The sequence below is a fragment of the Homo sapiens genome, chromosome 5 (assembly GCF_000001405.40).
Source record: "Homo sapiens chromosome 5, GRCh38.p14 Primary Assembly".
NCBI lineage: Eukaryota > Metazoa > Chordata > Mammalia > Primates > Hominidae > Homo > Homo sapiens.
The window spans coordinates 77,486,474-77,511,865 of NC_000005.10; the positions used below are offsets into that span (position 1 = coordinate 77,486,474).

The following is a 25,392-nucleotide window of genomic DNA, read 5'->3' on the forward strand; positions in this document are numbered from 1 at the left end:
CATGAGAGGTCAAGTTTATTTACCCACTCACTGAATTTGTGCCAGCTCCTAACTTGCTTTGGCTGACGAAACAGCAGCAAACACGAGGCAAGCTGAGACTTGAAAAGTGTCTTACTTTGGGGCTTGCCCTTCTGCTGCTATTAGAACTCCATGATCATTATGTGAACAAGCACCTGAAAAACCACATGGAGGGAGACCACAGTCATTTCAGCTGAGACCTTCAGCTGAAATGAACCAGCCAGCCCCCGCCAATCTACCAGCTGACAGAGGCATAAGTGAATCTAGCCAAGATCAGTTGCTCCTGGTGCAAAGACAGACTCACCCAGCTGAGCCTAGCCCGAATTGCCATCCTGCAGAATAATGAGCTAAATAGATGGGGTTGTGTTAAGCCACTAAGTTTGGTGTGACAGCTGACAGAGCATATAGGTAACTAACATACCCACATATGGCTTTTTACTCTTTACAGAATATTTACTCTATCATTAAACAACTAAAGTATATGTGAGCACCACTGTGGGGAAAATTAAACCAAATATATGTCAGCATTTGTACACTAACCATTATTCTATAGGCTGGCCTCTTCTACAGAGTCCTCTTCTAACTATGGGATAGGAATAGCCAAGAGGATATTTCACAGAGGAAAGACAGCAATGAACATGATCTCTTAACAATTTATACAAATATTTAAAGTCCACAACCTGATCACATACTGTGTATTTATTATTTAACTTTCCTGGACAAAATAACTTTAGGATTCCTTAACACCCAAGTATTAGTGATTATAAGAAATTATCAGATTTTCTTTAATCTAGCAACTTACTAGGGTAAAATATAGCGCAAGAAAACTTTAGCTGTCCAAAATCTTACCTTTCCAGAAATAATTAGTTCCCCACAAAAATGACCACTTTAATAAATGGAGTGTCTCTCAGGACATAGCAACAAGTAACATTGCCAAAAAAAAGGCTGCAGATGATTGTTTAACATGCCATGATTTGGTTGACTTGCATCACAACAGGAAAACAGTGATGACAGGCCAGTAATATATATGAGACAAATCTTTTCAAGCAAAAGTTAAGAAGCATGGTACTGTTTAATAACTTTGCTGGACTTTGTCTCTGGTTCCTAGAAGGGAGTCTCTAAATCCTTGGAATTTTCCAAGTGGTAAGAATGTCTTCATTATTCATGGTGGGTCCCTTGGACCACACCTAAGTTTATACTAAAGGAACAACTCACAGTGGGCCCTGAGATAACATCAGGAAAGGGGCTGGCCAAGGTGGAAAAATGAACCACATGATTTAAAGGTTTGGGCTTTCTGCTACCAGTCACGGTGGGGAGGGTGGGGACTGAAGATTGAGTTCAATTATGTGACCAATGATTCAAACAATCATGCCTACTAATGAAAGCTCTGGACACCCAAAGCTCAAGTGTGCTCATTCATTGGTGATACACACTGATGTTCCAAGAGGGCGAGGAGTCTTGAGACATGGAAGCTTTGCATGTGGGACCCCCTAGGCCTTGCCCTATATACATCCTCTCATTTGGCCGGTCCTAATTTGTATCTTTTATAATAAAACTGTAATCCTGTGTATAGTGCTTTCCTCAGTTCTGTGAGTCCTTCTAGTGAATTATCAGACCTGAGGGAACAGCAGGAACTTGTAGCCAGCAGCTGGAAATGCAAGTGGCCTACAAACCCATACATGGCTTGCAGCTAGTGTCTCCAGTGAGGGGTGCTGTATAGACTATGCCCTTCATCTGTGGAATCTGACCTAAGTCCAGGTAATGTCAGAACTGCACTGCACATGGTAAAGCAACTAAATATCAGTAACATTTAAAGAGCAGAGAGAAGGCTGAGCACGGTGGCTGATGCCTGTAATCCCAACACTTTGGGAGGCCAAGGTGGGAAGACAGCTTGAGCCCAGGAGTTGCCCACCAGCCTGGGCAACATAGTGAGACCCTGTCTCTATTTTAAAAATTAAATTAAATTAAAAAAAAAAAAGCAGAGAAAAGACAAGGTTAATAGACAGCAGAAGTGGTGGTCAGAGTTAGGAATAATTACAGTAACACTCATCCATGGAGTGAAAAAAAACAGCAAAGGCAAAAGACAAAATTAGAGATGAAAGTGGAAAAACTAGTAGAGACAACAGAAATGAGGTTGGGGGATTAGGACGGCATTCAATGTGGATGCTTAGTAGTCTGGAGAGTCATTCATTCACTCAGCCACCATCTATGAATTATCTGCTACATGTAAGGCACTGTACTAGGTACTAAGAAAACATGGTGAATAAGAAAAACATAGCCTCATTCTCATGAAGCTTACATTTTAGAGAGGACGAAAATATTGAATTACACCACTAATTATGTAATTATTATGGTGAAACATGCTATAAAAGATATACAGTTGAATATGGGCTTAATATACATATATACATATCAGTAATAGTCTACAGTCCTAAAGCCTATACACCTTCACCTCTATTTGCAAATATATTAAACATAATTATTATACATGTTAGCAAGGAAGTACAGAATAATGTACATTTTCAAGTGGTTTCATCAATAACAAAAACTTTGGATTAAACTTACCTTCCACTAAAAATAAAACATTCCTGGTAGGTACCTGATACTTAAACACTTAGCATATTTGTTTCTCAAATACAAGTTCTCCTTAATATACTGTTATAACTCCTACCCAAATTTTAAAGTCATACACTTCTTTTAAACTATTAAGAATATTTCTGAGAATGCAAACAAACAAACATAACCCTCAAATCACCAGACACGACACCCTGACTTTGGGCAAAAAAGACTCTAGATACATATTTCATCGAGATGCAGAGGCCAATTTCAATTTCTACTAAATGTTACTAATGATCACAGTTTTTAAATTTTTAGAAAAGATGTATTAATTTTAAAGGTGTTTAACATAAAATTCCCTAAAACCTCTTCCCAAACAATAGTCAATTAGACCACTATAGCTTCTTACCTGTAGTCATCTAACTGTACCAGAAATCGTACAATATCATGATGAGCCTTCAGTACTAGCAGTTCAGTGTAGGGATTCTGGGTTTGTTCTTCACCTATTGTCTGTAAAGGAGATTTCTTGTATTGAAAAAAAAAAAAAAGCAAAAAACAAAAGACAAAAAAAGAGATAAAATGATTTGTAAGACCATATTGGAATATAACTCCATGGTATACATCTGAGAACACAAGATTTTAAAAGCCTTAAGGTATCATGTTCTACTACTAAATATTATTTCTTCTTTTATCAACTAAATAACTGCCAGTTCCACATAAAACACTTCTCCTACCACAAATTCGAATCATGAATTTTAGTATTTTCAAATCACAATAAATTTACAAAAAGGGTGAATTTTATTTTATGTAAATTGTATCCTATTAAACCTCACTTTAAAAAAAGTAATGGGCCAATCCAACTCAACATTTTAGAATGCATGTTTCTCAGTTAAAATGTGGCAGAAACAAAACTGCAAATCAAAGACATAAAATAGTGAAACAGTGCCTCATCCATTACAAGCACTCAATACATGCTTGCTAAATGAATAAATGAAGGCATGAAATCAACTCTGGATTTCTCAAACTTGATGCTGACATTTTGGGCTAGAGAATTTTTTTTTTTCGCACCACACGCCCAACTAATTTTTGTATTTTTAGTAGAGACAGGTTTTCACCACGTTGGCGAGACTGGTCTTGAATTCCTGACCTCAAGTGATTCGCCCGCCTCGGCCTCCCAAAGTGCTGGGATTACAGGAGTAAGCCACCGCGCCCAGCCCAGATAATTCTTTGTTGTTGAGAACTGTCCTGTGCATTACAGGACATTGAGCAGCATCCCTGGTCTATACACATTAGATGCCAATAGAACTGCCCCTCTGCAAGGCATGACAATCAAAAATGTCTCCAGACATTGCCAAATGTCTCCTGCGGGGCAAAAATCACCCCAGTTGAGAACCACTGCTTAAACGAGAAGCCTGGATACAAAGTTATTGCATAAATTAGGGACAATCATAGGTTCCGATAATGTACAAATTCACAGCAGTTATACAACTCAATTAGATTTATATGAAGAAATATATAAATTTAAAACATGCATAAATGTTTTCCAAAAAAAAAACCACCACCACAAAGCATTGATTTTGTATTTATTCTGTCTTCCTTCTAGAAGAGATTGTGGTGAGAAATTTGAAAACTATATAAACTGCTTCTCCTCCAATGAAAACTTGCCAGGAATGGGAGACCTGGTTAAGCAAATAACATGATTAACCAAAGAACCAGGTTAAAACAGAATTATCCAAAATGTCGTATATACCATATATGGCTATTCAATAATCCACAATCTCAAGGATTTAGGATTAATCTGAAATAAGAAATTTTTAAAAACAGACAATACCGTCAACTGCAAAGACATGCGGAAGTTAAAATTGAGAAGACTGCCTACTCTCAACAATCCAATTTCTTACTTTTAACAATCTAAACAAATACTTCTTATGAGAAATAAAATGCAATTCACAAATTCTGTTCTTGTCAGGCCTCTGAGCCCAAGCTAAGCCATCGCATCCCCGGTGACTTGCACATATACGCCCAGATGGCCTGAAATAACTGAAGAATCACAAAAGAAGTGAAAATGCCCTGCCCCGCCTTAACTGATGACATTCCACCACAAAAGTGAAAATGGCCGGTCCTCGCCTTAAGTGATGACATTACCTTGTAAAAGTCCTTTTCCTGGCTCATCCTGGCTCAAAAAGCTCCCCTGAGCACCTTGCCCCACTCCTGCCCGCCAGAGAACAACTCCCCTTTGACTGTAATTTTCCTTTACCTACCCAAATCCTATAAAACGGCCCCACCCCTATCTCCCTTCGCTGACTCTCTTTTCGGACTCAGCCCGCCTGCACCCAGGTGATTAAAAGCTTTTATTGCTCACACAAAGCCTGTTTGGTGGTCTCTTCACACGGACGCGCATGAAAGTTCTTGTGTGGCATACGAAATAAATTTGGGACCTCAAAATTTCCAAGACTGCAAAAATTATTTTATTCACATTTCAAATGTAAATTTCATTACACACGGTCTATTCAATTATTCGGGCCCATGAAGAAAGTGTGACTATGAAACCAAAAACAGCAGTTAATTAGAAAATCATGTTCTTGACCTTGAAGCAGATTACTTTTTAAAAATAATTATATCCTTTTTCGGTTGTTGGATAAGTAAATTAATTTTATATTCCCTGACCAAGTATCAGTAGACGCCAGGAAGAGACACCAATTCAAATAAACCAAAAGTGGAAAGCTGCGGTCACAACTCGTTCGTTTCTAGCTAAATCGTATACTTTTTAAGTGGAAATGAAGATAGTTTCGGTAGCCAGAAGCCCTAAGTTGTCACAGGTCCCAATAGGACTGCTGACCAGCTGAGCGTCCCTGAGCCAGGATCTCACGATTCAGCTAGCCGTGGGACGGGGCCGGGGGTCTGCAGCTCCAGGGTGCGCCTGGGGTCCCGCCGGGTCTGAGGAGCTCCGGCTCCCGCGCCCTCCGCCCCCACCGTCGTGAGAACAGCGCGTGGCACGAGCTCAGCAGCCAGCCCCGCCTCCGCCCGGGTCCCCGCGGTCGGAACCCAGGAAGGCCGAACCGGAACGAAGCCGCCCCTCCAGCAAGCTCGACGGACGCAGAGCAGACCCACCCGGGGTTTACCTCGGCCAGTCCCTGCGGTTCTCGGCCTCCCCCGATCAGCCATCGCAACATCCGGGCAGCGGCGGCGTCTTGCCCGGTCCAGCCCCAGTCAGCCCAAACTCCGCCCCAGGCTCGGCCTCCTCCTTCCTCCCCGGCTGCAGCGCAACTGAGACGCTAATACTTCCCGCCCCAGATCAGCCCACGGGCCGAAGGAATGCAGACCACAGTTGAGGGAGAATTTTTGTCCCCAAAGCGCTCCCGTACCCAGCCACGGAGGCTTAGTTTGGGCAGTCGCTTGGGGTGCGGCGGCCGACGGCGGGGGCGGCTGCGGCGATTGCGGGGCGCGCGCTGCTCCGAGTGAGCACGCGCGGGAGCGCCGCCGGGTAGCGCACGGAGCTTAGGTAGCTCGAGCGGCCCCTGGTGGACGCGCGCGGAGCAGCAACCCGACCCCGGCGAGCAAGCGCGCACGAAGAATAATGCCCCTCCCTGTGACATGGCTTTAGTATCCTCCACTTCCTAGGGTACCAGGAAATCTCCCCTGCTTTCCCAAGAGCTTGCTGAAGAAGGTGTACCGCAGTAGACTTCTGCATCCAGACAAATCCAGTGGCTCATGTGTACAGCCGAATAAATCCGGCCAACATTTACTGTGTGCTATAGTACAGCTACTGTGCTAAGGCTTTACATAAATCCTCATGGTAAACCTATATCCTCTATTTTACACATCAAGAAACTAAAGCTCTGAATGATTAGGTAATTTGTCTAAAGATAACAGCTAGGAAGTGGCTACATTGGTAGTGTTCTTGACCGTATGCTATATTAACATAGAATCTCCCTAAAGAATAGAAGGCAGTTCATATACCTTTTTTTGACTACTACATTTTCTTAGGTAGTCAAAGGGCTGTGGTTATCTATGCTGACTGCATATCAGAATTACCTGGGTAGCTTTTGAAAATGTAGATTCCTGGCTTCCACCTCAGACTCATTAAAATAATCTTTGTGGTTGGGACGTAGGAATCGGGGTTTTGGGAAGGCTCCTCAGGTGATTCTGATGAGTAGCAAGGTCTGAAAATCACTGGTCTAGGAACTACTTATACATATCATGTTTGCAAAAGTATAAATATATATATTTGCATATGTATTAGGTTCAAATAATCCTCCTAGCAGTAAATTGTTGTAGGGAATCTACAAATGTCCCAACTAATGCATTAATTCAGCAAACATGTATTGGACACAGATGCACTAGAGAAGCAGAAAGGAATCACATAAAATGCTGCTCTGGAGGGACAAGGCATAATGTCCCAGTCACCAATAAGAGAGAGCCATACATCCCACTTTAAGCTAAGTTGGTTGTGAGCAGCTACACAAACTTACAGTCCCTCTGGAACTCGGATCTCCTATAATTCATCTTTGTATTCCTTTTGAGTGCACTCGGCAAGAACACACTCCCAAGGATCAGGAGCATGTTGCCTTCTGTGTGCTAGCCCCAAATTGCAGTCTGCATACAGTTGAAGACAGACCAAAACAGAGACTATCCCCTGGGAAAGAGGGACTTATCTTTAAGTAAAACAAAACTCAGAGACATCAGGAGTTCAGTTCTGGAAGGAATATCTTCACGTGAGACAATGTGGTTGCCCAAATAGCCTACATTTTATTCTTCTGATTATCCACATTCTTTAGGGTTTGCCCCATGCTCTTTAGGGTTTGCCCAATGCCACATTACTCTGATGTAAGGGACATTCTGCTGATGCTTTAAAGCACTGGTCCAGGGTTGAACACTTCCTCCCTTGGTTCCTCTTAGGACAGCTAAGAAAGAATTTTTTACAAGATTAGTATATTATTGGGCACACAATGTATAAAGATGTAATTTGTGGCATCAATAGAAAGGGTGGGGGTGGAGCAATATAGGAGCAGAGTCTTTGTATGCTATTGAAGTTACGTTGGTATAAATTAAAATGAGATTGTTATAACGTTAGGATGTTAAATGTAATTCTCATGGTAAACACAAAAATACCTGTAAAATATACATAAATGGAAATGATCAGGGAATCAAAACATTTACTACAAAAAATAAGCTAAATACAAAAGATGGCAGTAATAGAGAAAATGAGGTACAAAAAAACTATAAGGCATATAGAAAACAAATAGAAAAATAGAAATTCCTCTTTATCAGTAATTACTTTAAATATAAATAGATTAAACTGTCCAAAGAAAAGGCAGATTGACAAAAAAAAACCAAACTCTAGAATCCAACTATATGCTGTCTATGAAAGACTGACTTTAGATCAAAGACACAAATAGATCAAAAGGGAAAGAATAGAAAAAGATATTCCATGCAAATAGTAACCAAAAGAGAACTGGAGTGGCTGTACTAACAGCTGACAAAATAGACTTTAAATCAAAAAAGTTTTCAAAGACAGAAACATTATGTTATATATTAATAAAATAGTCAATATAGCAAGAAGATAAAACAATTACAAATATTTACACACCTAATAATAGACCCTCAAAATTTATGAAGCAAAACTTAACAGAATTGAAGAAAGATATAGTTCTACAACAATGGTAGCAGACTTCATCTGTCCACTTTCAATAATAGATAGAACAACCAGACAAGGTAAAGAAATAGAGGACATAAACAACACAATAAACTAATTACATCTAACATATAAAGAACACACTACCCAACAACATCAGCATAAACATTCATCTCAAGCACATGTAAGACATTCTCTTAGATAGACCATATGTTAGGCCACAAAATAAGTCTCAATCAATTTTAAAAGATAGATATCACACAAAGTATCTTCTCTGACCACAACAGGAATCAGTGACAGAAGTAAAACTGGAAAATTCACAAATGTGTTGAAATTAAGCAAAACACTCAAACAACCAATGAGTCACAAGAAAAAGCAGCACAAAAGAAATTATAAAATACCTAGAGACAAAAACACAACACGACAAAACTTACGGGATGCGGTAAAAGCAGTACTTAAAGGGAAATTTATAGGTATAAATGTCTACATTAAAAAAGAAGATCTAAAATCAATAACCTGACTTTATACCATAGGAACTTGAAGTAGAAGAGCAAATGAAACCCAAAACTAGTAGGAGGAAGGAAATAATAAGAATTAGAGCAGAGATAAACAAAATAGAGAATAGAAAAAATAGAGCAAATCAATGAAACCAAAAGTTGGTCTTTTGCAAAGATGAAAAAAATTTAAAAACCTTTAGCTGGACTGACAAAGAAAAAAAGAGAAAATGCAAATAACTAAAATTGAAAATGAAAGTGGAGACATTACTACTGACTTTGCAGAGAGAAAAGGGACTATGCGACCACTATGAACAATCGAACACAAATTAGATAACCTAAAAGATATGAATAAATTCCTTGAAATACACAAATTATTTAAATTGACTCAGAAAGAAATGGAAAATATTAACAGACCTATAGCAAGTAAAGAGATTGAAACAGTATTCAAAAACCTCCCAAAAAAGTGAAGTCCTGGACCAGATGGCTTTACTGATGAATCTACCAAACATTTAAAGAAGAATTAACACAAATCTTTCTCAAATTCTTCCAAAAAGTGAAGAGGAGGAAACACTTTTTAACTCCTTATACAAGGCCAGCATTACCCTGATACCAAAACCAGAAAAAAAATCACAAAAAGAGAAAATTATAGGCCAATATCCCTTATGACTACAGATGAAAAAAATCTTTGACATAATATTATCACATTAAATCCAACAGCATATTAACAAGTATTATTTACTATGACCAAGTAAGATTTATTCCGGGAATGGAAGAGTGGTTCAGTATAAGAAAATCAACCAATGTAATACATCACATTAATAAAACAAAGGAAGATAACCACAAGATAATCTCAACTGATGCAGAAAGGCATTTTACAAAATCCAACACCCTTTTATCACAAAACTCTCAGAAAACCAGAAATAGAGGGGAAATTCCTCAATAGGATAAAAAGTAATTATGAAAAACCCATGGTTAACATCACATTCGATGGTGAAAGACTGAAAGCTTCTCCCCTAAGATGAGAAACAAAAGAAAGATGTCCTCTTTGACCACTGCTCTTCAACACTGTATTGGAAGTTCTTGCCAGAGCTAGTAGACAAAAAGAAGTAAAAAGCATCCAAATTGGAAAGGAAGAGGTAAAGCTCTCTCTATTTGCAGATGATATGACCCTATATATAGAAAATCCTGAAGAATCCACAAAAAAGGTATAGAGCTAATAAATAAATTCAGCTAAGTTGCAGGGTACTAGATTAATACAAAAAAAATTAGTGTTGTTCCTACTTGCCAGCAATGAACAATCCAAAAAGAAAACTAATAAAGCAATTCCATTTACAATAGCATCTAAAATAATTAAATACATAGGAATAAATCTAACCCTGGAGGTGAAAGACTTCTATACTGAAAACAACAAAACATTGCTGAAAGAAATTAAAGAGTACCTAAATAAATAAAAAGACGTCCAAGCTCTTGGATAGAAAGACAACATTGTTAAGATATAAATACTTCCCAAAGCAATCTCCAGATTCAATGCAATCTCTATCAAAATTTCAATAATCTTGTTCCTAAAAATGGAAAAATAATCCTCAAATTTATATGGAATTGCAAGGGGTCCCAAATAGCCAAAATAATCTTGAAAAAGAAAATAAGGTTGGAGGACTCACACTTCCCAACTGTGGAACTTACCACGAAGTTAAAGTAATAGTACTGGCACAAGGACAGACATGTAGACCAATGGAATAGAACAGAGAGCCTAGAGATAAACTCTTACATATATGGTCAATTTTTTTGACAAGTGTACTAAGACCATCCAATGGGGAAAGGACAGTCTTTTCAACAATTGGTACTAGGAAAACTGGATCTCTACACATAAAAGAATGAACTTGGATCCTTATCTTATACCATACACAAATGTTAACTTAAAATAGTCAAATACCTAAACTTAAAAGCTAAGTTGTAAAACTCTTAGAAGAAAAAAAATTGGAGGAGAAAATATTCATCACATTAAATTTGGCAAAATTTAGTGGCGGTGACACCAAATGCACAGGCAACAAAAGAAAAAATAAACCAATTTGACTTCATCAAAATTAAGAACTTTCATGCGTCAAAGGATACTACCAAGAAAATGAAAACCTACAGAATGGAAGAAAATATTTGCAAATCATACATCTGATAAGGAAGTGATACCTGTAATATATAAACATCTCCTACAACTCAACAACAACAACAACATAAAACAACCCTATTAAAACTGGGCAAAGGACTTGAGTAGACATTTCTCCAAGGAAGGTATATGAATGGTCATTAAGCACCTGAAAAGAAGCTCAACATAATTAGTCATTAGAAAAATGCAAATCAAAACCACAATGGCATGCCATTTCACACATACTAGGATGCCTATAATTTTTTTAAGCTGGAAAATAAATGTTGATAGGGATATGGAGAAATTGGAGTCCTTGTGCATCGTTAATAGAAATGTAAAATGGAGCAGCCACTGTGAAAAATCGTTTAGCAACCCTCGAAAGTTAAACATACAACTACCATATGACCCAGCAAGTCCACCTCTAGGCATATATCTACAGGAAATGAAAGCAAGGACTCAACAGATATTTGGGCCAATGTTGACATCAGCACTATTCACAATAGCCAAAAGCCGGAGACATCCCAAGTGTCCATCCACAGATGAATGGATAAATAAAATGTGATGTATGCATATAATGAAATATTATTTAGTCATAAAGGAATTAATTTTTAAATATATTCTACAACATAGATGGGCCTTGAAAACATATGTTAAGTGAAATAAACCAAACACAGTAGAATAAATATTGTATGATTCCACTATTATGAAATACTTAGAATAGGTAAATTCATAGAGACAGAAAATAGAACAGAGGTTACCAGGGATGGGAGAGGGGGAAATAGGGAGTTATTATTGAATGAGTACAGAGTTTATGTTGAGACCAATGAAAAACATTTGTATATAGTGGTGATGATTATACAATATTGTGAATGTACTTAATGTCACTGAATTGTACAATTACAAATGGTTAAAATGACAAATATGTTAGTATATTTTACCACAATAAAAGAGATAAATAGATCAATGGGACAGAATAGAGTACCAAAATAAAGCCACATATATATGGATAACTGATTTTTTTACAGAAGTGTAAAGGCAGTCAGTGTAGAAAAGACTATTGAAAAAGTCTTTTTGTTAATTGTGCTAGACAATTTGACATCCATATCCAAATAAATGTACTTCAATTTATATCTCATTCCATAAGCAAAATACAGGATTAATCATAGGCATAAATGTAAAACCTAAATCTATAAAACTTCTAAAATAAAACATGGAGAGGCCAGTCATGGTGTCTCAAGCCTATAATCCCAGCGCTTTGGGAGGCTGAGGTAGGAGGATTGCTTGAGCCCAGGAGTTCAAGACCAGATTGGGCAACATAGCGAGACCTCATATCTATAAAAAGTTTTAAAATTAACCGAGCATGGTGGCAGGTGCCTGTGGTTCCAGTAACTCAGGAGGCTGAGGCAAGAGGATCACTTAAGCTCAGGAGCTAGAGGCTGCAGGAAGCTATGTTCATGCCACTGTACTTCAGCCTGGGTGACAGAGTAAGACCCCATCAAAAAAAAAAAAAGAAAAAAGAAAAAGAAAAAAAGAAAAAACCATTGTGACTTTTTAAAGATTTTATCTCAAAAGTACAATCCATAAAAGAAAAAATTGATAAATTGTACTACATCAAAATTAACACTTCTGTTCTTTAAAAGACACTGTTAAGAGAATAAAAAATAAGCAATAGACTAGGGAAAATATTTGCAAATTAGGTAGGTGAAAAAGGACTTCTCTCCAGAATATATAAAGAACCCTGAAAACTTAATAAAAGTCCAGTTCTGAGTGAGATAGGATAAATACACGTCACTCTTTCTCTCCAATTGAACACAACTATAAACCTTGAACAAAATAGATGACGTAACTCTTTAAGGACTCTGAAAAAGGAGGAATGGGGAAGAATACCAGAATTCAAATTACCAGCAAGTCAGCATTTCTTTTTTCTTCAGCAGCTTCCCCAGCCTGAATCCAATGCAACCTCAAATCTGGAAAGGAGCACTGTGGTGCAGAAAGAGAAAGGTGTACCTTCTAGTTGTGGCTGAAACTGCAGGAAGAGGAACTCCCAAAGCTTAGAGAGAATGCAGGAATCCTCTGGGTCTTTTCCTCTCCTTTTTGTCCATTCTCTTATGCCTCAGACTCCAAAATATCCCACAGTAATGGTGGCAGCTGTTACAGTGGCTACCAACAGGAGACTGCAGGAGCCAAAACTCTAAGGGAAGGGAGACTTCCTCTCCATTCGGTAGAGCTCATGCTGCAAAAGAGTGCATCCAAACCCAGACCTGTTTTTTCCCATCTTTCTACCCTTCCACTAACTGGCACCAGAGGTGGAGCAATTACGAAAGGGGGTGGTTTCCAAAAAGGGAAACCCCAAGGAAACAGAAAGTACCAGAGAGATAGTGGAAATAGAAGAGTTCAGGAAAGCAACCCCAATTACTTTTATATGAACATGTAGGCACACCTTCCTTATCTTCATATGCAAGGCTCTTAATCTAATTAGTGTAAACTGAGTTAATAGAATTCTGCCTGGGCCCGAGACTAATTACTAGATGGGACAAATACAGATAACACTGTAAAGGCATTAAAACTGAACAAACATTAGAGCCACAGCTCACAGAAGGTGAGTTACAACTTGTGCCTAACCTAGTCAGGTTAATTGCTTGTTAAAAAAAAATACCAACAGTCTCCACAGGACTTAAAACCAAGTTTCATAGTGTCATATTCCAAAGGTCTAGGAGTATAAGCCCAAATTACTTGGCATATGGAGAAACACAAAAGTCTTAGCTCACATGGAAAAATATAATCAACGGTTGCCAATGACAAAACTACAGATGTTGGAATTACCTGACGAAGACTTTAAAACATATTATAAAAATGCTGGCATGGCAATTATAAACACTCTTGAAACAAACATTAAAACACAATGTATCAGCAAAGAAATAGAACATATAAAATAGAAAGAACCAAATGAAAAATTTTACATTTAACATACAATAACCAAAATTTAAAACTCAGTGGATGAACTAATAGCAGAATGGAGAGGACAGAGGCAAGAGTCAGTGAACTTAAATGGAGAAAATCAATAAAACCAAAAGCTGGTGTTTAAAAAGATCAGTGAAATTAATAAGCCACTAGCAAGACTGACAAAGAAAAAAAATAAAAGATAAAAATTAGCAGTATAAGGAATGAAAGCAGGGATATTACTGTAGGCCCCACAGACATTAAAGGGATAATAAGAGAGTATTATAAATAACCCTACACACAAAAATTTAACAACTGATGAAATGGAGTGATTTCTCAAATATCACAAATTACCAAAATCTGTTCAAGCTCAAATAGGTAACCTAAGTAGTCCCATAACCATTTACAAAATTGAATTCATAGTTTAAAATGTTCTTAAAAAGAAATCTTAGGGTTCAGATACCAAATCATAATGAAAATCCCAGAGGATTTCCTGTAGATAGACAAGCTGCTTCTAATAGGTATAAAGAAGGGCAGACGAACTAGAATGTGCTGTGAGACATTACATTAAAAACCAAAAAAGATACTAAAAACTTTAAAATTTGAATCTTGTAGTCCCTGCTCTCAAGAAACATATTTCAGGAGGTTCCAAGATGGACAAATAGGAGCAGTTCCGGTCTGCAGCTCCCAGCGTGATTGACACAGAAGATGGGTGATTTCTGCATTTCCAAATGAGGTACCTGGTTCATCTCATTGGGACTGCTTGGACAGTGGGCACAACCCATGTAGGGCAAGCCTAAGCAGGGCGAGGCGTTGCCTCACCCAGGAAGTGCAAGGGGTTGCAGGATTTCTGTTTCCTAGCCAAGGGAAGCCGTGACAGACTGTACCTGGAAAAACAGGACACTTCTGCCCAAATACTGCGCTTTTCCCAAGGTCTTAGCCACTGGCAGACCAGGAGATTCTCTCCCATTTCTGGCTCAGCGGGCCCCACACCCACAGGGCCTTGCTCACTGCTAGTGTAGCTGTCTGAGATTGAACTGCAAGGCGGCAGCCTGGCTTGGAGAGGAGCATCCACCATTGCTGAGGCTTGAGTAGGTAAACAAAGCAGCCGGGAAGCTCGAACTGGGCAGAGCCCGCCGCAGCTCAGCAAGGCCTACTGCCTCTATAGACTCCACCTCTGCGGGCAGGGCATAGCTGAACAAAAGTCAGCAGACAACTTCTGCAGACTTAAATGTCCCTGTCTGACAGCTCTGAAGAGAGCAGTGGTTCTCCCAGCACAGCGTTTGAGCTCTGAGAACAGACAGACTGTCTCCTCAAGTGGGTCCCTGACCCCTATGTAGCCTAACTGGGAGACACCTCCCAGTAGGGGCTGACAGACACCTCATATAGGTGGATGCCCCTCTGGGACAAAGCTTCCAGAGGAAGGATCAGGCAGCAATATTTGCTGTTCTGCAGCCTCTGCTTGTGATACCAAGGCAAACAGGGTCTGGAGTGGACCTCCAGCAAACTCCAACAGACCTGCAGCTGAGGGTCCTGACTGTTAGAATGAAAGCTAACAAACAGAAAGGAATAGCATCAACATCAAAAAGGACATCTACACCCCATTGGTAGGTCACCAACATCAAAGAGCAAAGGTAGATTAAAACCACAAAGATGGAGAGAAATCAGAGCAGAAAAACTGAAAATTCTAAACACCAGAGTACCTCTTCTCCATCACAGCTCCTCGCCACCAATCAAACAAAGCTGCATGGAGAATGACTTTGATGAGTTGACAGAAATAGGCTTCAGAAAGTTGGTAATAACAAACTCCTCTGAGCTAAAGGAGCATGTTCAAACCCACCACAAGGAAGCTAAAAACCTTGAAGAAAGGTTAGATGAATGGCTAACTAGAATAAACAGTATAGAGAAGATCTTAAATGACCTGATGGAGCTGAAAACCATAGCATGAAAACTTCGTGACACATACACAAGCTTCAATAGCCAATTCAATCAAATGGAAGAAAGGGTATTAGTGATTGAAGATCAAATTAATGAAATAAAGTGAGAAGAAAAGGTTAGAGAAAAAAAAGTAAAAAGAAATGACCAAAGCCTCCGAGAAATATGGGACTATGTGAAAAGACCAAATCTACGTTTGATAGGTGTACCTGAAAGTGATCGGGAGAATGCAACCAAGTTGGAAAACACTCTTCAGGATATTATCCAGGAGAACATCCCCAACCTAGCAAGGCAGGCTAACATTCAAATTCAGAAAAATAGATAACACCACAAAGATACTCCTCAAGAAGAGCAACCCCAAGACACATAATTATCAGATTCACCAAGGTTGAAATGAATGAAAAAATGTTAAGGGCAGCCAGAGAGAAAGGTCCAGTTACCCACAAAGGGAAGCCCATCAGACTGACAGCGGATCACTCGGGAGAAACCCTATAAGCCAGAAGAGAGCGGGGGCTGATATTCAACATTCTTAAAATAATTTTCAACCCAGAATTTCATACCCAGCCAAACTAAGCTTCATAAGTGAAGGAGAAATAAAATCCCTTACAGACAGGCAAATGCTGAGAGATTTTGTCACCACCAGGCCTGCCTTACAAGAGCTCCTGAAGGAAGCACTAAACATGGAAATAAACAACCAGTACCAGCCAGCGCAAAAACATGCCAAATTGTAAAGACCATCAATGCTATGAAGAAACTGCATCAATTAACGGGAAAAATAACCAGCTAACATCATAATGATGGATCATATTCACACATAACAATATTAACCTTAAATGTAAACAGGCCAAATGCCCAAATTAAAAAACACAGACCGGCAAATTGGATAGAGTCAAGACCCATCAGTGTGCTATATTCAGGAGACCTATCTCACCTGCAGAGACACACATAGGCTCAAAATAAAGGGATGGAGGAAGATCTACCAAGCAAATGGAAAGCAAAAAAAAAAAAAAAAAAAAGCAGGAGTTGCCATCCTAGTCTCTGATAAAACAGACTTTAAACCAACAAAGATCAAGAGAGACAAGGAAGGCCATTACATAATGGTAAAGGGATCAATTCAACAAGAAGAGCTAACTATCCTAAATATATATGCACCCAATACAGGAGGACCCAGATTCATAAAGCAAGTCCTGAGTGACCTACAAAGAGACTTAGACTCCCACACAATAATAATGGGAGATTTTAATACCCCACTGTCAATATTAGACAGATCAACAAGACAGAAGGTTAACAAGGATATCCAGGACTTGAACTCAGCTCTGCACCAAGCAGACCTAATAGACATCTACAGACCTCTTCACCCAAAATTAACAGAATGTACATTCTTCTCAGCACCACATCACACTTATTCTAAAATTGACCACATAATTGGAAGTAAAGCACTCCTCAGCAAATATAAGAGAACAGAAATCTCAAAAAACTGTCTCTCAGACCACAGTGCAATCAAATTAGAACTCAGGATTAAGAAACTCACTCAAAACCACTCAACTACATGGAAACTGAACAACCTGGTCCTGAATGACTACTGGGGAAATAATGACATGAAGGCAGAAATAAAGATTTTCTTTGAAACCAATGAGAACAAAGACACAACATACCGGACTCTCTGGGACACACTTAAAGCAGTGTGTAGAGGGAAATTTATAGCACTAAATGCCCACAAGGGAAAGCAGGAAAGATCTAAAATAGACACCCTACCGTCACAATTAAAAGAACTAGAGAAGCAAGAACAAACACATTCAAAAACTAGCAGAAGAGAAGAAATGACTAAGATCAGAGCAGAACTGAAGGAGATAGAGACACGAAAAACCCTTCAAAAAATCAGTGAATCCAGGAGCTGGCTTTTTGAAAAGATCAACAAAATTGATAGACTGCTAGCAAGACTAATAAAGAAAAAAAAAAGAGAAGAATCAAATAGATGCAATAAAAAATGATAAAGGGGATATCACCACTGATCCCACAGAAATACAAACTACCATCAGAGAATACTATACCTCTATGCAAATAAACTAGAAAATCTAGAAGAAATGGATAAATTCCTTGACACATACACCCTCCCAAGACTAAACCAGGAAGAAGTTGAATTTCTGAATAGAACAATAACAGGCTCTGAAATTGACGCAATAATTAATAGCCTACCAACCAAAAAAAGTCCAGGACCAGATGGATTCACAGCTGAATTCTACCAGAGGTACAAAGAAGAGCTGGTACCATTCCTTCTGAAACTATTCCAATCAATAGAAAAAGAGGGAATCCTCCCTAACTCATTTTAGGAGGCCAGCATCATCCTGATACCAAAGCCTGGCAGAGACACAACAAAAAAAGAGAATTTTAGACCAATATCCCTGACGAACATCGATGCAAAAATCCTCAATAAAATACTGGCAAACCGAATCCAGCAGCACATCAAAAAGCTTATCCACCACAATCAAGTCAGCTTCATCCCTGGGATGCAAGGCTGGTTCAATATACGCAAATCAATAAACGTAATCCATCACATAAACAGAACCAACAACAAAAACCACATGATTATCTCAATAGATGCAGTAAAGGCCTTCGACAAAATTCAACAGCCCTTCACGCTAAAAACTCTCAATAAACTAGGTATCGATGGAACGTATCTCAAAATAATAAGAGATATTTATGACAAATCCACAGCCAATATCATACTGAATGGGCAAAAACTGGAAGCATTCCCTTTGAAAACCAGCACAAGACAAGGATGTTCTCTCTCACCACTCCTATTCAACATAGTGTTGGAAGTTCTGGCCAGGGCAATCAGGCAAGAGAAAGAAATAAAGGGTATTCAATTAGGAAAAGAGGAAGTCAAATTGTCCCTGTTTGCAGATGACATGATTGTATATTTAGAAAACCCCATCGTCTCCACCCAAAATCTCCTTAAGCTGATAAGCAACTTCAGCAAAGTGTCTCAGGATAAAAAATCAATGTGCAAAGATCACAAGCATTCCTATACACCAATAACAGACAAACAGAGAGCCAAATCATGAGTGAACGCCCATTTACAATTGCTACAAAGAGAGTAAAATACATAGGAATCCAACTTACAAGGGATGTGAAGGACCTCTTCAAGGAGAACTACAAAGCACTGCTCAATGAAATAAAAGAGGATACAAACAAATGGAAGAACATTCCATGCTCATGGGTAGGAAGAATCAATATCGTGAAAATGGCCATACTGCCCGAGGTAATTTATAGATTCAGTGCCATCCCCATCAAGCTACTGATGACTTTCTTCACAGAATTGGAAAAAACTAAAGTTAAAAAAGTAAAGTTCATATGGAACCAAAAAAGAGCCCACATTGCCAAGACAATCCTAAGCAAAAAGAACAAAGCTGGAGGCATCATGCTACCTGACTTCAAACTATGCTACAAGGCTACAGTAACCAAAACAGCATAGTACTGGTACCAAAACAGATATATAGACCAATGGAACAGAACAGAGACCTCAGAAATAACACCACACATCTACAACCATCTGATCTTTGACAAATCTGACAAAAACAAGAAACGGGGAAAGGATTCCCTATTTAATAAACGGTGCTGGGAAAACTGGCTAGCCATATGTAGAAAGCTGAAACTGGATCTCTTCCTTACACCTTATACAAAAATTAATTCAAGATGGATTAAAGACTTATATGTTAGACCTAAAACCAAAAACACCCTAGAAGAAAACCTAGGCAATACCATTCAGGACATAGGCATGGGCAAGGACTTCATGTCTAAAACACCAAAAGCAATGGCAAGAAAAGCCAAAATAGACAAATGAGATCTAATTAAACTAAAGAGCTTCTGCACGGCAAAAGAAACTACCATCAGAGTGAACAGGCAACCTACAGAATGCGAGAAAATTTTTGCAATCTATCCATCTGACAAAGGGCTAATATCCAGAATCTACAAAGAATGCAAACAAATTTACAAGAAAAAAACAAACAACCTCATCAAAAAGTGGGCAAAGGATATGAACAGACACTTCTCAAAAGAAGACATTTATGCAGCCAAAAGACACATGAAAAAATGCTCATCATCACTGGTCATCAGAGAAATTCAAATCAAAACCACAATGAGATACCATCTCATGCCATTAGAATGGTGGTCATTAAAAAGTCAGGAAACAACAAATGCTGGAGAGGATGTGGAGAAATAGGAATGATTTTACACTGTTGGTGGGAGTGTAAATTAGTTCAACCATTGTGGAAGACAGTGTGGCGATTCCTCAAGGATCTAGAACTAGAAACACCATTTGACCCAGCAATCCCATTACTGGGTATATACCCAAAGGGTTATAAATCATGCTGCTATAAAGACACATGCACACATATGTTTATTGCAGTACTATTCACAATAGCAAAGACTTGGAACCAACCCAAATGTCCATCAATGATAGACAGGATTAAGCAAATGTGGCACATATACACCATGGAATACCATGCAGCCATAAAAAAGGATGAGATTATGTCCTTTGCAGGGACATGGACGAAGCTGGAAACTGTCATTCTCAGCAAACTATCACTAAGACAGAAAACCAAACACCATATGTTCTCAGTCATTGGTGGGAACTGAACAATGAGAACACTTGGACACAGGATGGGGAACATCACACACTGGGGCCTGTAGGGGGTGGGGAGCTGGGGGAGGGATAGCATTAGGAGAAATACCTAATGTGAATGATGAGTTGTTGGGTGCAGCAAACCAACATGGCACATGTATACCTGTGTATCAAACCTGCACGTTGTGCACATGTACCCTAGAACTTAAAGTATAATTTTAAAAAAAGAAACATATTTTAGACTTTAGGATAACATTGAGTAAATTCTTGCATTTTAAGAAGAACAACTGAAGGGAGCACATGTAAATTAGTAATGAGTAAACTGAAGGAGTAAATTCTAAGGAGATCTAGCTTAAAAATAATCATCAGAGTTCTGGAGATTGGTTGCATGAGAACGTAGGCATATTTAAAGTAACTGACCTGTACACTTAAAAATTGAAAAGATGTTAAATTTTATGTAGTATATATTTTACCAAAATTAAAAATAAAACATAAATACACTGCTCCACCCATTTCCAGCACCAATAGTGCTTCTAGAGGCAACCACTTTCAAGGCTGTAGATGCTTCTTTGTAATTTGCCTTTATTTTTCTGACAATATGCAATACTGCTATATCTTATACTTGTTGTCTCGTGTCATCATTTTGCAATCTTTGATTTCTTATGTTAGATGAGCACTAGCACTAAAGCCTTCCCCACCAAGCCTTCACATGAAACTTTCCTCACCTCATCGCCTACCTATATTGCCAATGTTCCTTTTCATTATACTCTCGATATAAGTATAACAGATTTTTTTGTCAGTCAATATTCAGTGTTTGCAGTGTTACGGCTGTAATATTAGGTGGAAAATGTTATTCACTATTGAGTCAAATATAGTGATGGAATTCCATTTCTTCTTCATGATGTGACTAGGTATGGATCTCTTTGTTTATTCTACTTAGAGTTTATTATGTATCTTTATTGCATAATTTTTTAATGAAATTTAGGAAGTTTCAGCCATTATTTCTTCAAATATTTTTCCTGCTCCTTCCTCTCTTCTCCATTTGGAACTCCTACTGCATGTATGCTGGTGTGCTTAATGGTGTCTCACATTTCTCTGAGGTTCTGTCCGGTTTTCTTCATTCTTCTTTCTCTTTGCTCGTTGGCTTGCATAACCTCTATCAATCTGTTCTCAAGTATACTGATTCTTTCAGCCAGTTCAAATCTACTGAGCCTCTCCAGTAAATTTTTTATTTTGGTTATTTCACTTTTTGACTTCAAATTTCCATTAGTTCTTTTACAAAAATTTCTTTTATTTTTATTTATTTATTTTTTCTTTTGGAGACAGGGTGTTACTCTCTAACCCAGACTGGAGTGTGTAGTAATGCAGTCACAGCTCACTGCAGCCTCGACCACCCAGGCTCAGGTGATTCTCCACCTCAGCCTCCCAGGTAGCTGAGACTACAGGCACACAGCACCAAGCCCAGCTAATTTTTTGTAGCGACAGGGTTTCTCCATTGTTGCCCAGACTGATCTTGAACTCCTGGGCTCAAGTGATTGACCTGCCTGGTTCTCCCAAAGTGCTAGGATGGCAGGCATGAGCCACCACACCTGGCCCTTTTATAAAAACGTCTGTGTTTTTGTTGGTATTCTTTATTTGATTAGACATTGTCATCATAACATCTTTTACTTCTGTACACATGGTTTTAGTTCTTTGAACATATTTATAATGGCTGTTTTGAATTTTTCATCTATTAAATCCAAGATCTGGACCCTCTCACTGGCAGTTCTGTTGGCTGCTTTTTCTTCTTGTGTATGGGTCACACCTTCCTGTTTCATTGCTTGTGTCACAATTATTTGTTGCTATTGAAAGCTGAACATTTTTGGTAATATATTGTTTGACACTAGATACTTATTTCCTCCCTTCTCTGGAGCTTGTTTTTGTTGTTGTTTGCTTGTGTACTTAGTAGCTTTGCTAAACTATTTTAGTGGTCTGTTTCTCTCCCCCCACAGCGTGAAGCTTCTGTACTCATCACAGTGTGCATCCTTAGGCATGGGACAGTCACCCTGGAATGACTGATCTTAGCAGGGCTCTCTTCGTTTATCTGATTTCACTTTAAAACCTTCTGCCCCTTTTTTTGGTCTCCATTAATTGCTGGCTGATTGTTTTTGACAATGTCCTGTGGTATAAATGGTTCTATGGTCTGATCCAATTAAATTCAGGCAGGGATAGTTTTTGAGGCTAGTGTTTGAGGTTTGTTCTGTTCTCAGGAGAACTCTTCTTAACTGTCCCTCTCTCTGGGTGAACTAGCTGGCCTATGATTTAGCTTATTGTTCTCAATATAATCTTTCAATCAACCAGACCAATAATAGAAAATATTAGTTTAATTTTATTGCTGGAGACCTCCCTCATCAAGACTTCTGACTTGCTGCTTCTATCTGAACTGGTTTTTTTCTAGGTCTGATACACAGCTGTCACCCTGGGGTTTCCTTTGCCATCTTCCTGAGAATTCCCTGGAATTCCCCTTTGAATTCCCTGAAATGAAGGGGTCCCAGCAATTACATTCCTAGGTATATAATCAAGAGAAACAAAAACATATATTTACACAGAAACTTGTACATGTATGTTTATAGCAGCACTATTCATCATACTCAAAAGGGGAAAGAACTCAAATTGATAAGCAAAATGTTGTATAACCATACAGTAGAATATTATGCCATAAAAAGGAATACAGTACTGACACAGGCTGCGACATTGATGATCATTGAAAACATTAGCGAAGTGAAAGAAGGCAGTCACAAAGACCACATGCTATGATTTCATTCATATGAAAGTCCAGAATAGGGAATCTATAGAGACAGAGAGTGGATTAGTGGTTGCTTACGGGTGGGGAAAATGGTAACAGGGCAATGGTAGCAAAAGATATAAGGTTTCTTCTTGAGGTGACGAAAACCTAAAATTGACTATGGTAATAGCTTCACATATCTGTAAATAGGTTAAAAACCATTAAATTGTATACTTTAAATGGGTAGATTATATGATATGTGATTTATATCTCAACAATGCTGATTTTAAAATTCAGGCCATTGAGATATTTATTGGCAACCTGAAGTTGTCATTGAATCTTGCAACTCTAGCAGTATATGAGAGTAACTCTTTAATAGAACCTCTTAAGAAACTTCCCCTCACATCCATTGGCCAGGTTTGGATCCCCTCCCCCTTTCCTAAACCAATCACTAGTATGGAACTGAGATCACCAGGTGTATTAGTCCATTTCCACACTGCTGATAAAGACATACCCAAGACTGGGCAATTTACAAAAGAAAGAGGTTTATTGGACTTACTGTTCCACATGGCTGGGGAGGCCTCCCAATCATGGTGGAAGGCAAGGAGCAGCAAGTAACATCTTACATGGATGGCAGCAGGCAAAGAGAGAGCTTGTGCAGAGAAACTCCCGTTTTTAAAACCATCAGATCTCGTGAGACCCATTCACTCTCACAAGAACAGCATGGGAAAGACCTGCCCCCATGACTCAGTCATCTCCCACCAGGTCCCTCCCACAACACATGGGAATTATGGGAGCTACAAGATGAGATTTGGGTGGGGACACAGAGCCAAACCATATCACCAGGATTACATTAGATTAATCATGACTTAACCAATTAGGAAATGAGTGCATTCATAAATAAAATTATGGTTCTGCCCAACAAGAATGAAGGGAGGATTGGCTATTGGGTGGGTCAGCAATAGTGTCTGCTACACACTTGCTTAGTGTTTTCAGGTTTCCATGCCTTTCTACTATCTTAATTTTCCTCACAACCACCCTATGAAGTTAGCAGGAGAAATAGCTACATTTTTGAGATGATGAAACTGAATCTCAAAAATGTAAATTATCTTAGCCATGGTTATACTGCCTGTTGAGTAATGGAGCCAGGACTTGAATCTAGGTTTTTCTGACTCCAAATTCAATTTTTTTTTTTTTTTTTTTTTTTGAGATGGAGTCTCACTCCATCTCCCAGGCTGGAGTGCAGTGGCGTGATCTCGGCTCACTGCAACCTCTGCCTCCCAGGTTCAAGCGATTCTCCTGCTTCAGCCTCCCAAGTAGCTGGGATTACAGGCACATACCACCACACTCAGCTATTTTTTATTAGTAGAGACAGTTTCACCATGTTGGTCAGGCTGGTCTCAAACTCAGGTGATCCACCTGCCTTGGCCTCCCAAAGTGCTGGGGTTACAGGTGTGAGCCACCACACCCAGCCCAAATTTAATTTTTAAAATTAGAATTTTTTAAAAAACTATGTCCCTATAAATATAATTTCTATTAACAAAGTGTTACTTATCATAATTTTTAGAACTCCACATTGAAAGATCCTCCAGATAACAATTCTTATTTAAAGCTTTCTCTTACTTTCCCCTCTAACAAATACAACCAGTTCATTCTCTCCAGTTGACGTCTTTTCAATACAGGCCACTACACCAATAGATTATCCTGTGCTCTTATTCAAAGAATTGTTCTGCTAAGGATTGTGCATTCCTACTAATGAGTTTGTTGTAGATTTTGTGGAATTAAGGAGAATGCAGTAGAATTTTAAATTATCTGTCTTTATCTCTAATGGCTTTTCATTCATAATTATAGTTTTGTAATGAGTGCATTTGTGATGACAGAAATCCACCATAACATATTCCATTGTCTGAATTAGCTTCAGACCCTTATTTAATGACTTATTAATCAACCACAGTCAGCCAACACTGTATCACATTAGATCTGTGAACAACACAGGCAAAGAATTTTTCTTTTCTCTCTATGTAACCCGTGGAGCAATGTTTAACAATAGGAATCTGTTCAAACATCCATCCACAGTTCCATTACATCTGCAGTTCTATTAGTAAAGGTCAGCCTAGGTTAGTTCACTGTCAGCAGCCAGAAAGGTGCAAGAATAGATGAGCTTAATTGCTGTATCTTTACTATCACTATGACTATTTAGAATGCAGGTAAGTAAGGCGTCCAAGATACTAAATCTCCATTTAGGTTACCAAGAAGCATTAGTTAAGTTTCGATTCTTACCGA

At 38.7% G+C, this 25,392-nt stretch overlaps 1 protein-coding gene across 9 annotated transcripts in view, besides 3 other annotated features; it reads right to left on the reverse strand.

The window, feature by feature from the left end:
- Positions 1-25,392, reverse strand: part of WDR41 (WD repeat domain 41) — a 189,645-nt gene that overhangs the window by 55,541 nt on the left and 108,712 nt on the right. For 5 of the 9 annotated variants that reach the window (XM_005248551.5, NM_018268.4, XM_011543507.3 and 2 more), the window contains exons 1-2: positions 5,697-5,843; positions 2,984-3,099 (exon numbers count right to left, since the gene is read on the reverse strand). The exons of 2 other annotated variants lie outside the window; for them this stretch is intronic. In XM_005248551.5, the coding sequence (XP_005248608.1) occupies positions 2,984-3,099; positions 5,697-5,747 (167 nt within the window). In that variant the 5' untranslated portion in view covers positions 5,748-5,843. Of the gene's footprint in view, positions 1-2,983; positions 3,100-4,936; positions 5,525-5,696; positions 5,844-25,392 lie in introns of those variants that run through there. 2 more of the 9 variants (XM_017009606.2, XM_011543505.3) reach the window with 2 other exon arrangements.
- Positions 5,305-6,228: an enhancer, noted in NCBI's record as "H3K27ac hESC enhancer chr5:76787603-76788526 (GRCh37/hg19 assembly coordinates)". NCBI's record gives its function as "activates a minimal SCP1, AML or CMV promoter by ChIP-STARR-seq in primed H9 embryonic stem cells {active_cell/tissue: H9 hESC(primed)}" and the evidence as "EXISTENCE:reporter gene assay evidence [ECO:0000049][PMID:30033119]".
- Positions 5,349-5,568: a silencer, noted in NCBI's record as "silent region_16110". NCBI's record gives its function as "represses an Ori minimal core promoter by ATAC-STARR-seq in GM12878 lymphoblastoid cells {active_cell/tissue: GM12878}" and the evidence as "EXISTENCE:reporter gene assay evidence [ECO:0000049][PMID:35858748]".
- Positions 6,009-6,148: a silencer, noted in NCBI's record as "silent region_16111". NCBI's record gives its function as "represses an Ori minimal core promoter by ATAC-STARR-seq in GM12878 lymphoblastoid cells {active_cell/tissue: GM12878}" and the evidence as "EXISTENCE:reporter gene assay evidence [ECO:0000049][PMID:35858748]".